Raw genomic sequence first — 17936 nt, 5'->3', positions numbered from 1 at the left:
CTCTCAAAAAAAATAAAAATAAACAAATATCAATTCCTTTATTTATTTTAATTTCTTTTTATTCTAATATAGTAGAGATAGAGTCTTGCTATGTTGCCGAGGCTGGCCTTAAACTCCTGGCCTCAAGCAACCATCCAGCCTTGTCTTCCCAAAGTGCTGGGATTACAGGCATGAGCCACCAAGCCCAGCCTAGTAATCCTTTTAATCCTCATGGAAACCCTATATGGTTGTTAGTCAGTTCAGGCTGCTATAACAAATTAGCGCAGACATAGACTGGGTGTCTCATGAAGAATAGAAATTTATTTTGGCTGGATTCAGTGGCTCATGCCTGTAATCCCAGCACCCTGGGAGGTCAAGGCAGAAGGATTGATTCAGCCCAGGAGTTCAGGACCAGCCTGGGCAACATAGTGAGACCCCATCTCTACACAAAATTTAAAAATTAGCCAGGTATGGTGGTGCATGTCTGTACTTCCAGCTACTTGGGAGGCAGAGGTGGGAGAATCACTTGAGCCCAGGAGGTTGAGGCTGCAGTGAGCCGTGATCACGCCACTGCACTGCAGCATGGGTGACAGAGCAAGACCCTGTCTCAAAAAAAAAGTACAAATTTATTTCTCACAGTTCTAAAGGATGGAATTCCAAACTCAGGCCACCAGCATGGTCAGTTCTGGTGATGACCAGAACCTCCTCTGGATTACAGGTGGCCAACTTCTCCTTGTAACCTCACATGATGGAAGGGATATGGGAGCTCTCTGACCCTCTTTTAGTTTTACTTATTTATCTATTTATTTTATAGAGATGAGGGTCTCACTATGTTGCCTCAAGAAATCCTCTGGCCTTATCCTCCCAAAGTGCTGGGATTGCAGGTGTGACCCACTGTGCCCAGCCTGAGGTCCCTTATGTAAGGGCACTAATCCCATTAATGAAAGTGCCTCCCTCATGACCCAAGGGCCTCCCAAAGGCCCTGCCTCCTAACACCATCACTCTGGAGGTTAGGATTCTCACACACAAATTTTGGGGAGACACCAACATTCAGGCCATAACAAACGTCTATTCCATTATCTTCATTTTGCATATTAAGAACCTAAGGCCCAGAGAGGCAAGTAACTTGCCCAAAGTCACACACCAAGGGGCAGGGCTGGGATTCGCCCTCAGAAGAGCTAGCTTCTAAGCCTGTTCCTTCTAACCAGGAAGCTTCTTCTAACAGCTGCTCCTTGGACAGCCTTGGTTGGCTTCAGTTAATCACCCTTTTGCCCCAGGTTAATTGAGGTGTAATTTACATACAATATCATTCACCCATCTTATGTGTTCAGTTGTACTGTTTTGGCAAATATGTAGTCATGTAACCACCATGACAATCAAGATTAAAAACATTTCCATCTCCCCAAAAGCTCCTCCATGCTCCTTCACTGTCAGCTCCCTCTCTCCTGACCCCCCAGAGCAAGGCAACCACTGATTGTCTATGGCTATCGTTTCCTCTGTCCGATGAATGGAATCACGGTACTTTTAGTGTCAGGCTTCTTTCACCTGCTCTAACACTCCTGAGATTTATCCCTGTTGCCATGTGGCCAATGGTGCACTCTTTTTCATTGCTAGATAGTAGTCCATTGGATGGCTACACTAAGATCTGTTTACATGTTCTATTGTTGGTAAACATTTGGGTTGTTCCCAGTTTGAGCTATTATAAATACACCTACTGTGAACATTCACTTACAAGTCTGTGTGGATGTATGTTTTCATATAGGATGGCAGGATCATGTGATAAGTATTTTTTTTTGAGACACAGTCTTGCACTGTCACCCAGGCTGGAGTACAATGGCACGATCTCGGCTCACTGCAACCTCCACCTCCCGGATTCAAAGGATTCTCCTGCCTCAGCCTCCCGAGTATCTGGGATTACAGGTGCCCGCCACCACACCCAGCTAATTTTTGTATTTTTAGTAGAGATGGGGTTTCACCATGTTGGCCAGGCTGGTCTCAAACTCCTGACCTTGTGATCTGCCCACCTCAGCCTCCCAAAGTGCCCGGCCCATGATAAGTATTTTTTAACTGTAAAAGAAACTGCCAGATTGTTTTCCAAAGTGGCTGCACCATTTTCCATTCCCACCATCAATACATGAGAGTTCTGCTGTTCCATGCCTTCACCAAAGCCTAAGTATTGTCTGTCTTAAATCTTGCCATTCTAGGTAGTGTAAGGCATAGATCAATGTGTTTTTAATTTGCATTCTCTGATGACCAGTAATGCTGAACAGCTTTTCATGTGCTTGTTGACGATTCCTGTGTCTTCTTTAGTATAGAGTCCATAAAAAAAACCTTTTGTTCATTTTATTTGGCTGACTTTTATTATTGGGTTGTAGAGTTTTTTATATATTCTGCACTAAAGCAAAAAAATAGGTTTTTAAAAAAATATCTTCTGTACACATATTCTCTCAGCCTTTGATTTACCTTTTCATTTTCTTCGCTGCACCTTTCTATGCAGCAGGCTATATGAATTTTTTCCACTTTTCAGTTAATATTTTTTGTGGTTGTTCTCTTTGGCACAATGTCCAATCCAGTGTAACAATATTTTTTTCCTGCTTTCTTCTAGAGGTCGTATAGTTTTGACTCCTATAACTAGGCCTCACTCAACCACTCTTGGCTATCTTCAGCCACTCATATATGAACACAAACATGTACATCCTGAGATCTGACTGTTACGGAGAAAAGATTTAGGAATAACTTATTCACATATCATACTTGCCCTGATCACAAAGGCCCACTGACCACAGCTACTGATGCACAGATCTGCAGTATATTCTGCCGAGGACATAATTTTCTTCCGCTTTTGAGTATCTCTTCCATCTGGATGGATGGATGGATGGATAGATAGATAGATAGATAGATAATGTAAATCACAAAGCATCTGGCATCTGAAGCAGGTCCCAATCAGTCTAGAGGTTTATTTTGCAAGGTTGAGAACATGCCCAGGAAAAACAGACACAAGTCACATGGGATCTGTGGCCTGTGCTTTTTCCAAAGAGGATTTTGAGCACCTAATTATTTAAAGGGGAAAGAATGAGCAGGAGGGGCAAGAGGAACAGTCAATTATGCATTCATCTTACACTCAGTAAATCTGCATCTTACAAAAAACTGAAGCTGGACCCCTTCCTTATACCTTATACAAAAATTAACTCAAAATGAATTAAAGACTTAAATGTAAAACCCAAAACTATAAAAACCCTAGAAGAAAAGCTAGACAATACCATTCAGGACATAGGCATGGGCAAAAATTTTATGATAAAATCACCAAAAGCAATTGCAACAAAAGCAAAAACTAATAAATAGGACCTAATTAAACTAAAGAGCTTCTGCACAGCAAAAGAAACCATCATCAGGGCAAACAGGCAACCTACAGAATGGGAGAAAATTTTTGCAATCTACCCATCTGACAAAGGTCTAATATCCAGAATTTACAAGGAACTTACATAGATTTACAAGAAAAAAACAAACAACTCCATCACAAGTGGGCAAAGTACATGAACAGAACACATCTCAAAAGACGACATTTATGTGGCCAACAAACATATGAAATAAAGCTCGACATTACTGATCATTAGAGAAATGCAAATCAAAACTACAATGAGATACCATCTCATGCCAGTCAGAATGGTGATTATTAAAAAGTCAAGAAACAACAGATGCTGGTGAGGCTGTTGAGAAATAGGAATACTTTTACACTGTTGGTGGGACTGTAAATTATTCAACCATTGTGGAAGACAGTGTGGCGATTCCTCAAGGATCTAGAACCAGAAATACCATTTGACCCAGCAATCCCACTACGGGGCATCTACCCAAAGGGAAAGAAATCATTAAATAAAAAAGACACATGCACTTGTTTGTTCACTGCAGCACTATTTACAATAGCAAAGACATGGGATCAACCCAGATGCCCATCAGTCATAGACTGGATAAAGAAAATGTGGTACATACACACCATGGGATACTATGCAGCCATAAAAAGAATGAGATCATGTCCTTTGCAGGGACATGGATGACACTGGAAGCCATTATCCTCAGCAAACTAACACAGGAACAGAAAACCAAACACCACATGTTCTCACGCATAAGTGGGAGCTGAACAATGAGAACACATGGACACAGGGAGGGGAACAACACACACTGGGGCCTGTCAGGGGTCAGGGGGAGGGAGAACATCAGGATAAACAGCTAATGCATGCTGGACTTAATACCTAGGTGATGGGTTGATGGATGCAGCAAACCACCATAGCACACATCTACCTATGAAACCTGCACATTCTGCACATGCATCCCAGAACTTAAAATAAAAAAATTTTTAATCTGCATTTTACATACAATAAAGTTAACATCAAGTAGAGGAAGAAATTAAATATACATTTGTCTCAGGGTAGGTGGAGGGATAATTTCTAGCCTTGTCTTTGTCCCGTACCTATGAAGATAAGCTGTTAATTTACATGTTAGGGGGAAGGAGGCCACCTGGGGAGATATGTGGCCTTCTATCTTTGCAGCTATCTGTTGAGGAACAAACGGAAGGCAGTTTTTTGCATGACTCAGTTCCCAAGCTTAACTTTTCCCTTTGGCATAGTGAGTTTGGGGTCCTGAGATTTTATTTTCCTTTCCCAAATAGATGGTGGATAAATAGATAAATAGATGATGGATGGATAGATTAGATAGATGATAGAAATGATAAATAAATAGGATACATTTAAATATCTCTTTTTTCACAAAAGCCCTCCTGACTTCCGTTCCTCTTATCCCAGGGCAATGGCACAAGTTAATGGGTTCTTAGTATTCTTTGAAGGAAAGACCTTAAGAAATAGGATAGCACCAATTACACCACCATTGATGGATAGCGAGAGGGTGCTGGGTTTATTATTTACCTTCTACAAGCAACAATAGCATTTTATAAAATTGTTATTTGTGATTTGAGAAAAATTCTAAATTTAGAAGATTGATTTATACAAAAATTACTATTGCCATTTTGGTCATGTCTTTTATCTTCTTAGTGGTTTCAAACACTAGTAGAAAACTAAAAAATATATATGATTACATGAAGCACAATTCCTTTTTATTAATTTGCCTAAACATTTTTTTTAACACGAAATGTGGAAGATCTTCTCTTTGCTCCCCTTTCAGTCTAGCATGAACACCAAAGCATGGACAGCCCTGAAGATGGTCTCTTTAGGGGATCCATGAACACCTTGAAGGCTGCAGTGAAAGTTTACGTTAAGACCAAGTCATTAGCAAGTGAATTGTTGGGAATAAACGCTCAAAATCCTAAGGAGATTGAACATTCAAACAAAGAATTCTTAGCAAAGCAATTTTACTTCCGTGCAGAGGGGTGCCTCCTTGGCCAGTCACCATGAGAGCACACCCGAACAAAGAGGCATGAGAGCCTTTATTCCTGATGCAAGTCCTGCCCCGCACCCTTTCCCCATTGGCCGGGGTCGGGTCGAACAATCTGAACTAATCCTGGTTGGCTAGATATTTGAACTTTCTTTAGATAAGGTGAGCACGTAAGGGAGAGAGGGGGAAAAAAAAGAGGAAGGGGTGTCTGCAATGAGCTAGAGAGCTAGTCTCCTTTCCAAATAAGGAAAGGAATGGGAGCTGGTACTGATAAGCCTGTACTGTGGCATGTCCGGGCATGTAACAAAGGCAGAAAAGAGAAAAAGGAAAAAGGGGTGGGGGGGGGCAGGGTACTACCAATTAAAGAAGAAAGGACTGATCAGGCTGTGTGAAGGGAAACCTCATCATATTCCACAGCTTGATCTCACTCACACCAGAAGATACTATTAAAGTTGTGCCAAAAGCCTTGAGATTTAAGAAGTCTGCAGAAGGGAGGCCTGAAAATACTGGTCTCCTTTACAGTTGTAAAATTATAACCCAGGTAACAAACCTGCACACGTACCCCCTGAATCTAACATCAAAGCCAAAATGATTTAAATAAATAAATAAAACTGTAAAAATAAAGAATTTACAGTTGCTAGGGTGTAACTACAGTTTTATCCTCCCCAACAAGAGGAAGAATTCCAGGACCCAAGGAGTTAGATGGTACAAAAGGCAACCAGTCAACAAGACACCTTAGCAGTACCAGCTGACCTGTCAGGATGGTCCGTGTTGTCTCCAGGAGGCACCAATAATGAAATCACAGCCCACCCCAACCCCAAGTGAGATGCTTTCTTGCTTTGATCTCAGGACAGAGAGCAGGACAAGTACCCTAAGGTCTTCCAAGGTACATACCCTGCATTTCTTCCATTTGTGCTGCCTCCAACTATTTAAAGTCTCTATTTAAGGTGTTGCCCATAGGCCAGCATCATCAGCATCACCTGGGAGCTTATTATAAATGCAGAAACTCAAGCCAGACTGAGTTTAGCCAAACTCAGCGCAGAAGAAAAATTGCACTGGGCAGAGGTTAAACAGGGTAGGGAGACTGTATTCAAGAGTATTGCAATCAGGGCCAAGACAAGTGCAATAGAGGAGAGAGAATAAACTCCACTCTGCTGAAACAGAAGGCAGGGGACTTTGAGTGCTGGGTGAACTAGTGGAGAAGTCTTGGAGGATGTTATGGGAGAGACTGGTCAATGTGATTAGGCATCTGTGTTTGCTAATTGGAGCTTATCAAAGTTAGGCTCCCACCCTCCCAGAGAGACTGGACAGCCACTGGAGACCTGTCTTCCTTGATGATTATATCTCAAAGAGATGGCTCCTAGGTCCTTGAGAAAGTCACTCTTGGGTTGTAAAACTGGCAAGAGGCTGGAAGAAGATTTACATCTCAAAGAATTTACAATTCCAAGTTTCCTAAAGTAAATGTTCTAAAGAAAGGGAGGTCAGGGACCTATAGGAGGAAAAAACCTGTCTAAAGGTCAGTCCAGCTGAGGGAACATGAAGGCTGCTGTGGTTACGGCTACAGACATACTGAATCAAACTCTGTGGAGACAGGGCCCAGGAATCTGTGTTTTGGCAAGCTATCTGATTGTTTCAAAGGGTGCCAACTTCCAATTCTTAAATACAATAACCAGAGTAACTAGGAACATGGTATATTAATTTGCTAAGCTTAACAAATGTCATTCTTTGTTTCCAGCCTTATTGAGGGGTGATTGACAAAAATAATTGAATATATTCATAGTGCACTTCATGGTGATTTAAGTATACCTTGTGTAATGATTCTTGCAATCAAGCTAATTAACACATCCATTGCCTCACATAGTTACCATTTCTGTGTGTGTAATGATACCACTGGAGATCTATTCTCTTAGTAAATTTCAAATATAAGATACATTATTACTAACTATAGTCTCTTAGCAAATTTCAAATATAAGATACATTATTACTAACACCATGCTGTACATTAGATCCCCAGAATTTATTCATCTTATAACTGAAAGTTTGTACCCTTTAATCAACAACTCCCCATCTCCCCCGTCCCCAGGACCTTGACAACTGCCACTCTACTTGTTACTCAAAGTGCAACGATTTTGATTCCACATATAGGTGATGTCACACAATATTTGTCTTTGTCTGGCTTATTTCCCTTAGAATAATGTCCTTCAAGCTCATTCACATTGTCACAAATGGCAGGATTTCCCTTTTTTTAAGGCTAAATAGTGCTCTCATGTGTATATATATATATACTACAGTTTATTTATCCATTCATCCATCAATGAACACTTAGGTTGTTTCCACAATTTGGCTATTGTGAATAGTGTTGCAGTGAAAACAGGAGTACAGATATCTCCTGGACATACTGATTTCATTTCTTTTGGATATATACCTAGCAGTGGAATTGCTGAGTCATATGGCAGTTCTATTTTTAATTTTCGATGAATCTCCCTAATGTTTTCCATGATGACTGTACCAATTTACATTCCCATCAACAGTGCACGAAGGCTCCCTTTTCTCCCATCCTCACCAACATTTGTCTTTTTGGTAACAGCCATCCTAACAGGAATGAGGTGATATCTCATTGTAGTTTTGATTTGCATTTCTCTGATGACCAGTAATGCTGAGCATCTTTCATATACCTGTTGGCCATTTGTACATCTTCTTTGCAAAAATGTCTATTAATATTGATATGGTTTGGCTGTGTCCCCACCCAAATCTCAACTTGAATTGTATCTCCAAGAATTCCCATGTGTTGTGGGAGGGACCCAGGAGGAGATAACTGAATCATGGGAGCCAGTCTTTCCCATGCTAGTCTCATGATAGTGAATAAGTCTCATGAGATCTGACAGGTTTATCAGGGATTTCCACTTTTGCTTCTTCCTCATTTTTCTCTTGCCGCTGCCATATAAGAAGTGCCTTTCACCTTCTGCCATGATTCTGAGGCCTCCCCAGCCATATGAAACTGTTCAATTAAACCTCTTTTTCTTCCCAGTTTCAGGTATGTCTTTATCAGCAGCGTGAAAATGAGCTAATGCAAAGATCCTTTGCCCATTTCTTAATCACGTTGTTCAGGTTTTTTTGGAGGTGACACAAAAGCACAGACAATAAAAGCAGAAACAAACAAGTGGAACTACATCAAATTAAAAAGCTTCTGCAGAGCAAAGGAAACAATTAACAAAATAAAAAGGCAACCTATGGAATGGGGAGAAATATTTGCAAACTGTATCTCTGATAAGGAGTTAATAGCCACAACATATAAGAAACTCATACAAACTCAATAACAAATGTCATTTTGATGAACTATCTTCCCCCACAAAACTATCTTTCCCTAGTAGGCCAAGGGGAAAACCTCAGGGATGATATTTCCATATTAAGGAGATAATTCTGAAGCTGGAATTTGGAAGGGCTTGTTTTTTGTGTGTTTCATTTCATTTCAATGAGAACTCACCCAAGAAAATTTACTATCATTCAAACAGGAATTTTCCTTGGGACTCTAGACGCGCACACCTTGGTAAAGGCAATTCTTTTTCTTTAATGTTCTGTATTGCTTTTAGTACATTAAGGGTATTACTTTCCAAGTGCTACAGGGAGATGTTCTTTATAGGTTCAGTAAATCACAGGATAAGAACTAATTGAAACTTGCTTGCATACCTTTGTGGGCTAAGTCTTGCAACAGGAAAGCAATCAGCCAGCAATTAAAATGCTAATACAGGGCTCACCCCAGTTGGGTGCTCTTGCCAAAATGCGTGGGCAGCTCCAGCAGAATTCATAACAGCCAGCTTGGACTGGACTTAATTTAGAAGCCATCGATTTACCAGAGTTGCAAATAACACTGCAAGAGCACTTTGCCAATGAAAAATAACGGTGACAACAACGATAATAACAAAAGAACAGTTTGTTATGATGCAAAGCAAATTATTGTCAATGATCTGAGCCTAGTCAGCTCAGTTGTTCAGGATTTAGTACAAATAAAACCAGCATCTTGGGTTCATCCCCTAAGGCTTGCTCTCCTAGGGATCCAGCCCCTGAGCAAAGCTGCAGGTACCACATTCAAACATTCCAGACCGGAAAAGTGACAGAGGCGTGTTGAAGTGGGTCCATCTTATGGACTCTGGGGTTGAACTGACCTCAGTTCAAATACTGAATCTGCCACTTGCTAGCTCTTGGTCTTTGTCAAGTTATTGCTATGCTATCTGCCTCAGTTTCCCCATCTGTATAATGAGGATATTAACAATACCTGCCTCATAAAGTTACGGTGAGAGTCAAATGTGAGAATGTATAGCAGTTAACATAGTGCTGGTACAGAATGAGTGTTTATAAAACGAGTTCTTGTTGCCACTGTCATTATTCATCTCTCCGGACGATGCCCTTTCTCAGGTCCTCACCCTCACATGCTCTGTGCATCTGCCTTACCTGCTGCCCTTTGCCTTGTACCTCTTATTGGGTTTTCTTCCCAAAGCCCTCCATGGCTGCTTCATTGGGAATCAATATTCCCACCTCACCCCTGTTTAGGAAGACCCCTTGGCACTGTGTTTCACAGCCTGGGGCAGGATCCAGATGGTCCCACACCCAGTCTGGCCTTAGAGTCTCTGTCAAGGCCTCTGGGTTTCCAAGCAGGGAGCTTAACAGGTTCCTATCAAATTTCCCTCTTACTGAGGGCAACTTTAAGAGCAACAGATTTACATAAACTCTAGTTCAATTCAACAAAAAAATAAACAGAGTCCATCATGATGGGTGAGGCACCGTGCTGGGCAGGCTGTTGCTGCCCTTTGTAGCTCTCCACTCTGAAATCAGATGGTGCAGTAAACAGGATAATGCCCTCCACACACGTACACAAAGGTGGCCATGTCCTAACTCCCATGACCTGTCACTATGTTACCTTTTGTGACAAAGAGAGCTTTGCGGATGGGATTACATTAAGGATCTTGAGGTAGGGGGATTATCTTGGATTATTCAGATGGGAATAAAAGGGGATTTGGACCCAATTCCTTGGTACAGCTGCTTTAACCTGTGCAGTCACATTTTAAATGAGAGTTCATAAAAATTGGTTTGTGATGCAAGAGTTTTCCTGGAGAAATTCTCAAGAGCAAAAAACTGAAGAATAGAATACATCAACTGACACAAATATATGGAAACTTCCCCCTTTTTTTCTGTTGCTTACCATTGTGAGTTAAATTGTGTCCTCCAGAACGATACGTTGACATCCTAAACTTCTCCCCATCACCTATGAATGTGACCTCATTTGGAACTAGGGTTTGCAGATGTCATCAAGCTAAAATGAGAGCATACTGGATTAGGTGGGCCCTAAGCCCGCCTGACTAGTGTCCTCATAAGGAGAGAGACAATTGGAGGCAGAGACAAATACACAGGAAAGAAAACTGTGACAACAGAGGCTGAGACTGGAGTGATGCATCTACCAGCCAAGAGACAGCGAGGATTACCAGCAACACCAGATGCTAAAAGGGGCCAGAGCATGACCCTGCTGCAACCTTGAGCCCACACTGCTGGCCCCCAGAACTATAAGAGAATCAATGTCTGTTGTTTTAAGCCACGAAGCTTGCAGTATTTTGTTATAGTAAGAACCTTCCCAGCTGGAGGCTTTAGAGAATACAAGTCCCTTAAGTTGTCTTGGCTACAGCTAATTCAGGCTGAAAGCTTCAATGTCAACTTCGCCCCAGGTAGGAAGAACAGCAGCAATAACAGCTGTCAAGCGTCCAAGCCATCCTACAAGCTGAGAGGAGCCCTCCTAGGTTGCATCGTCCCACTAAGTACAGCCAGAAATTACTGCCTGATCAGCAAGTTGACCCTCTTAGTTTAAGAGAAATAACTCATAAGAAAGCAGCTGCATGATGCTGAGACCCAGGGGATGGCTTTTCTTCAATACTTTTCAGCCCTATCCCACTCTACTGCTTCTTAAGAAACTAAAATTGTCTAGATTCTTGGAGCTGAGGTTTAAGTGACACATATTTGTCACGAACTGGTAACCTCAGGCACATTTCTTAACCTCTTTCTCCTGGGTTTCTTCATCCATAAAGTGAAACCATAACAATGGCTCTTCCTACATACAGGCTTGGTTATAAAAATCAAATGGTCATGATATTTTTACACAGCCATTAATTATTTGAGTTACATTGCATCTACCCTGGAAGATCCTGAGCAGGGGGAAATAAGCACATTCAGAAACAGTGCTGGATCAATCGTGGATCTGTGCCCTAACAAAAAAAGCTCTATGTGATTTTCAGCCCAGACTTGTGATTTGATTCACCAAGAGTTTCTCCACTTTTTCTGCCTAAGCCACCCACTTTAATGTTTCCTTCCTTTGGGGATCTATAAAGCTAATACTATTTTAATCAGTATGATGGTGAGAGGTGACGGTTGGGGATATGTCGGAGTTGGCAGCAGCCAATGGAACAGGCGTTCTGCAAAACAAAGACAGGAACTATGCACCAGCACCTTCTCATCTTCCCTTCCTCCTGGGGCCCCTGTGTTTACCCCATCCTATTCCCAGACACATATCCTAACACTCTATCTACTTAAAGTAGTATATAAGTGATTGCTCTTAACTAACACCTTACTTGAAAACAAGGTATTACTCCTCCCACTCTTCTTAGCTCAAGAAAGTTTCTCTGAGGACCTAATATCCTCTGTTCTTTTTCAAATTGACATATAATAATTATACATATTTAGGGGGTAGTGTTAATACATATATGTATAGTGATCAGATCAGGGTAATGTAGCATATCCATCACTGCAAATATTTATTATGTTGGGAGCATTCAATATCCTCCTTCTAGCCATTTGAAACTATATCGTATATTATTAACTGTAGTCATCCTACAGTGGTATAGAACACTAGAAATTCCTCATATTTAGCTGTAATTTTGCATGCTTTAACAAATCTCTCCCTAACCCCCACTTCCCCCTACCCTCCCCAGCCTCTAGTGCTCTCTGTTCTACTTCTTCTTACTTCTATGAGATCCACTTGTTTTTAGCTTCCACATATGAGTGAGAACATGTGGTATTTAACTTTCTATTCCTAGCATATTTTACTTAACATAATGTCCTCCAGTTTCGTGCTTAGTGCCACAAATGATAGAATTTTGTTCTTTTTATGGCTTAGTATTTCATTGTGTATATATACCACATTTTCTTTACCCATTCATCTGTTGTTGGACACCTAGGTTCATTCCACATCTTAGCTTTTGTGAACAGCACTGCAATAAACATGGGGGTGCAGGTGTCTCTTCGATGGACTGATTTCCTTTCCTTTGGATAAATGCCCAGTAATGGGATTGTTGGAGCATACGGTAGTTCTATTTTTAGTTTTTTGAGCAATCTCCATACCGTTTTCCATAGTGGCTATACTAGTTTACATTCCCACCAACAGTGTATAAGAGTTCCCTTTTTCTCCATATCCTTGTTAGCATTTGTTATTTTGTCTTTTTTTTAATAGTTATCCTAACTTGGATAAAATGATACCTCATGATGGTTTTGATTTGCATTTTCCTGAGGATTAGTGATGTTGAACATTTTTTCATACATTTCTTGGCCATTTGTTGTCTTCTTTTGAAAAACATCTATTCAGAAAATTTGCCCATTTTTTTTTTTTTTTTTTTGCTGTTGAGACATTTGAGTTATTTCTGTATTCTCAATATTGACTCCCGTCCCCCCAGCTTTTGGATGAATAGTTTGCAAATATTTTCTCCCAATCTGTAGGTGTCTTTTATGTGCCAAATCTTTTTAGTTTAATGTAATCCCATTTTTATTTTTGTTGCCTGTGCTTTTGAGGTCTTATTCATAAAATCTTTTTCCAGACCAACATCCTGAAGCATTTTCCCTATGTTTTCTTCTAGTAGTTTTATAGTTTCAGGTCTTACATGTACATCTTCAATTCACGTTTTTTTCCCAAGAGAGAGTTCTTGGATCTCACGCAAGAAAGAATTCAAGGTGAATCCATAGAGTAAAGTGAAAGCAAGTTTATTAAGAAAGTAAAAGCAGAGCAGCCTAATTCATTTTGAGTTGATTTTTGTATAGGGTGAAAGGTAGTTTTATTTTTCTGCATATAGACTTCTGTTCTTTCACCTGGGCCTTATGAAAAACATTGTCAAGCCCCTTCTTGATAATAATCTGTTGGGTCAATTTTCCTTATACAGGGATAGGTGGGATGCAACCCTTGAGCAGGCAAGGAGACAATCATACAAAGAGAGGACTGGTAAGTAGAGAAAAGGACCAGAGGTATAAGCATTAAGGAAAAGGTAGAGAAAGAAGCCTGAGAGAAACAGGCAGCAGAGAGGTTACAGTGAGATCCAGCTAAGAGTGGTGGAACAGAATCCACAATAGAGTTTAAATCATAAATGAATAAAGTTATAAGAGATCATATTTCTAACTATCAGCGCTGCAGAGATTTAAGTGAATAAGAGAAAGACTTTAGTCTCAATTTTCTAATTAAAATCTTCCAGATGTCAGGCACAGTGGCTCACGCCTGTGATCCCAGCACTTTGGAAGGCCAAGGTGGCTGGATCACCTGAAGCCAGGAGTTCACGACCAGCCTGACTAACATGCTGAAACCCCATCTCTACTAAAAATACAAAACTTAGCCAGGCATAGTGGCAGGCACCTGTAATCCCAGCTATTTGGGAGGCTTAGGCAAGAGAATCACTTGAACCTGGGAGGCAGAGGTTGCAGTGAGCCAACATCACGCCATTGCACTCCAGCCTAGTCAACAGAGTGAGACTCTGTCTCAAAAAAAAAAAAAAAAAAAAATTCCAGAAACTACAGTCTTGATTTTAAATAAGTGCTTAATAAATGTTTGAATAAGTGAACAAAACCAATCACATATTACATACATATGACCATGGAGTAGCTCATCAAAGTATAAGAATGTCTACCATATTAATGGAGGCTCAACTCTCTGGGATCCTGTAACATTAGCAGAGCTAGAAATTGTTTTCCTATCCACCCAATCAAAAAAGCATAAATAGAAGGGTCCTGGGATGAGATGGTAAAAAGTATCTTTAGTCCTGAAAGAGTAGGGACATTCCTCATGTAATCATCAACCTCCTCAATGCATCTGTCTCCAGGAAAGTGTCTTTCAAAACTACAGACCCCTCCTCCAATACTCTGCAGTGACATGATCTTGGCTCACTGCAAACTCCGCCTCCTAGGTTCAAGTGATTCTCATACCTCAGCCTCCCAAGCTGAGATTACAGGTGCGCCACCACACCTGGCTAATTTTTGTATTTTTAGTAGAGACAGAGTTTCACCATGTTGGCCAGGCTGATCTTGAACTCCTGGCCTCAAGTGACCCACCTGCCTCGGCCTCCCAAAGTTCTGGGATTACAGGCATGAGCCACCATGCCCGACATAGGTAGAAAATACTTCTATATCAGTATAATTAACAATTTCACGTGGAAATTATAAAAATGAGGGGAAAGGAAATGTCTGGCAACAAAGAAAACACATGTGAAGCAAATTTTAAGATTAATAATTTAGAAAAGGGGAAGGCTCCTGGAGACCAGCATGTCAATGATGAATTCATGAGAGAGGGGAATCTGGAGTCTTGGTCAGGTCTTAAGGAAAGCCCCATCCCCAATCTCCCAAAGTCCTGCCCTATAGATGCTCTTCCCAGGCACCTGCTACCAAGAGAATTCCTCAGTTTGATGCATAAGGTTATCTACCCAGGCTGGGATACACTCTCCTCAGGGTGCCCGCACCACCCTCTACACCCTGCTATTTGGACTAACTCCATTTGTTGTTAATCTGCCTCTGCTACTAATGGGCAAGCATGCCAGGAGCAGGAATCCTGTGTTTTTCATGCTTGTCTCTCCAGTCTCCACCATCATGTCAGATACAGTCTCTATAGATGCTTGAGTAGAAATAAGAGAACAAATACCAGCAGCTCCTCCTGCCCCCCATGAAAATCATACCTTTGTGATTTCATTTTCGCTTTTGAAGCCAAAATGATCAACTCACTGGCTAAACAGTATCCTATCCTGTGATGCCATCTTTTCTAAATTTCATAGATTTCTGTGCTTATCAATAATTTAAGTGGCTTCTGTAGCAGTCAGGCAAATAGTGGACCATACTGGTTGAATCCAGACAGAAAAACAGAGTAGCCATCACCAGGAGACCTTAACTGAATTGTTCACGGAGCTAAACTAATAATCTCTCCTTCCACCACAATTCCCACTTCTCTACTTCCAGAAGAGAACATGGAGACACTGGTAATCCAACAAATGACCTCAGGCTAATTAAATCAATAGTCCCTGCAAATGAGGTTTTTAAATGAAAGTGTTTTAAAGACCTTTAAAAAACTGGGATTCATTCCCATTGGGGCTAACATTTGAGGATAAATGCACAAGTAGGAGAGAGGAAAGGAAGGAAACAGAATCATCTTCGGTCCTCTAAAAAGTCAATTACCATTGGAAAATGCGAAACAGAATATGTAGAGATTCTCTTCTATTCCACTGAGCATGCATAAATGCTTTCTTGATGCTTATCAACCATGCAGGAATCAACACTGAACGCAAACGAGAGTATTTGTCTTCCTATAGTAAATATGTATACACATGATTTTGTTTCTCAAAAACTATTATGTCAGGTCTATCTGGTTCTAAAGGAAATAAAAACTACTATAAAGAGCCTGCTGTATTACATCCTATTGCCACAAAAAGAAAACAAAAATAGGCTGATTGCCTTACTGACTCTGGGCCAAGGGCCAATGTCCTTGAATGTGTTTGACCTTGAGAAAATCCCTTACCCTTTCTAAGCTGCAATTTATTCATAACATGGAAATAGCAACAGTGCAGTAGACAGCTCACAAAAATATTATACATGGATTTAAAACTGTGCAACCTTAAACAAAGGTGATAAACTTTAGGGATTCCAAAAGGCGTATTTTTTTCACATCTTAACATCTCTGAAATCAGGGTGTCTTATAGTCCTGCAATCACTGTCAGCTGAGGAATGGTGCAATGGTATGAATGTACATGTTCCTCCAAAATTCATATGTTGGAACTTAACCCCAGAAGTGATTACATTAAGAGGAGGGCCTTTGAAAAGTCATTAGGCCATGAGGACTCCACTCTCAGGAATGAGATGAATGCTCTTTAAAAAGAGGCTTCAGGGAGCTGTCTGGCCCGTCCATCTCTTCTCCATGTGAGCACACAGCGTCTGCCCCTCTCTGGCCCTTCCTCCAGGTAAGCAGACAGCAAGAGGCTCCATCTATGAAAAGAGTAAGCTTTGTGAAGCAACAGAGGCCAAGTCTGCTGGTGCCTTGATCATGGACCTCCCAGGCTGCAGAACTATGAGAAATAAATTTCTCTTCTGTATAAATTATCCAGACTAAGGTGTTCTGCTATAGGAGCACAAAGGGACTGAGACAGATGGTCACACCATGGTTGTCATTGGGGTTTGTGGGTGTGTAAACCCTAACTTCACCCTGTATTCACTTCTGTTGATAGCATGCAATGTCTGTACCACGTGTTGAGTTTAATTCCTAATAAAATGAAACCACCTTTGCAAAATTATGACAGTAAGAGAAATTTGACATAGTTGACTCCATCTTGCTTCTGACCTCCAAGCTATTCTTGGTCATTCCTGCATACAGGCCAAGCTAACTTTGGGAGAAATTTAGTTTATAGTTTAATCTTAAGGCAAGGATGATAATAGCCCTCCCCAAAATGAAATCACCTTTCTGAAACTAATGAAAGGCCACAAGGTTCGGATTATAAGAGGGGCTTGAATTCTGCTAAGAGGTAGGTGTAGTTAAGAGATAACCAGCCATTGTTCTGAGGTCACAAGATTTGTAACACAATTGGTCACACAATTTGTAACTTCCCCAATTACTCCTGTAGATAACATTACTATTATAGAATCTAAGATTGGCCTTTGAGATTTTTTTTTTTCAGACTTGTGCATTCCTGAAGACTGGCTGCCTCCACCTGAACCTGAGACTCATGACAACCTGTCCTGCGGTCCCACCCAGAGGCAGACTCAGCACCCGAGGACTGTTTTCCACACCCCTGTGATTTCCTCCCCAACCAGTCATCACTCCCCATTCCCTAGACCCCTGCTCACCAAATTATCCTTGAGAAACCATACCCCAGCCTTCAGGGAGACTAATTTGAGTACTAACTCCAGTTCTCCCACATGGGCCAGCCTCACACCAATTCAACTTTCTTTACTGCAATGCCATGGTCTCAGTGAATTGATTTTGTCTGTGCAGCATGCAAGAGGAATCCACTGGGTGATTACAAAATGTCTTCAAAAAGATGACAGGTGGGAGGATGGGAGGACACAGGAACTCTGTGTACGTCCTGCTCAACTTTTCTATAAACCTAAAAATCCTCTGAAAAATAGTCTATTGACTAAAAAATTACTACCTTAAGAAAAAGTGACATGGTTCCACATTAAACAGAACGCTATTGGGTACTCAGAAAGGCGTGGAAGCAGAGCAGCCAGAAATAAATGTGATATTAGCAAAGCAAATATTCATCATCGGAGAAGGAGCAACCAACCTCAAAACATGCACCAGCAGT

At 41.0% G+C, this 17936-nt stretch overlaps 3 annotated features.

Annotated features, from left to right (window-relative positions):
• Positions 4824-5817: an enhancer, noted in NCBI's record as "OCT4-NANOG-H3K27ac-H3K4me1 hESC enhancer chr7:152686953-152687946 (GRCh37/hg19 assembly coordinates)". NCBI's record gives its function as "activates a minimal SCP1, AML or CMV promoter by ChIP-STARR-seq in primed H9 embryonic stem cells {active_cell/tissue: H9 hESC(primed)}" and the evidence as "EXISTENCE:reporter gene assay evidence [ECO:0000049][PMID:30033119]".
• Positions 5818-6813: an enhancer, noted in NCBI's record as "NANOG-H3K27ac-H3K4me1 hESC enhancer chr7:152685957-152686952 (GRCh37/hg19 assembly coordinates)". NCBI's record gives its function as "activates a minimal SCP1, AML or CMV promoter by ChIP-STARR-seq in primed H9 embryonic stem cells {active_cell/tissue: H9 hESC(primed)}" and the evidence as "EXISTENCE:reporter gene assay evidence [ECO:0000049][PMID:30033119]".
• Positions 8685-9435: an enhancer, noted in NCBI's record as "OCT4-NANOG hESC enhancer chr7:152683335-152684085 (GRCh37/hg19 assembly coordinates)". NCBI's record gives its function as "activates a minimal SCP1, AML or CMV promoter by ChIP-STARR-seq in naive and primed H9 embryonic stem cells {active_cell/tissue: H9 hESC(naive and primed)}" and the evidence as "EXISTENCE:reporter gene assay evidence [ECO:0000049][PMID:30033119]".

This window comes from Homo sapiens, chromosome 7 (genome assembly GCF_000001405.40).
Source record: "Homo sapiens chromosome 7, GRCh38.p14 Primary Assembly".
Lineage (NCBI taxonomy): Eukaryota > Metazoa > Chordata > Mammalia > Primates > Hominidae > Homo > Homo sapiens.
The sequence above is the reverse complement of the archived record's forward strand: the minus strand, read 5'-3'. Positions and strand labels throughout refer to the sequence as shown.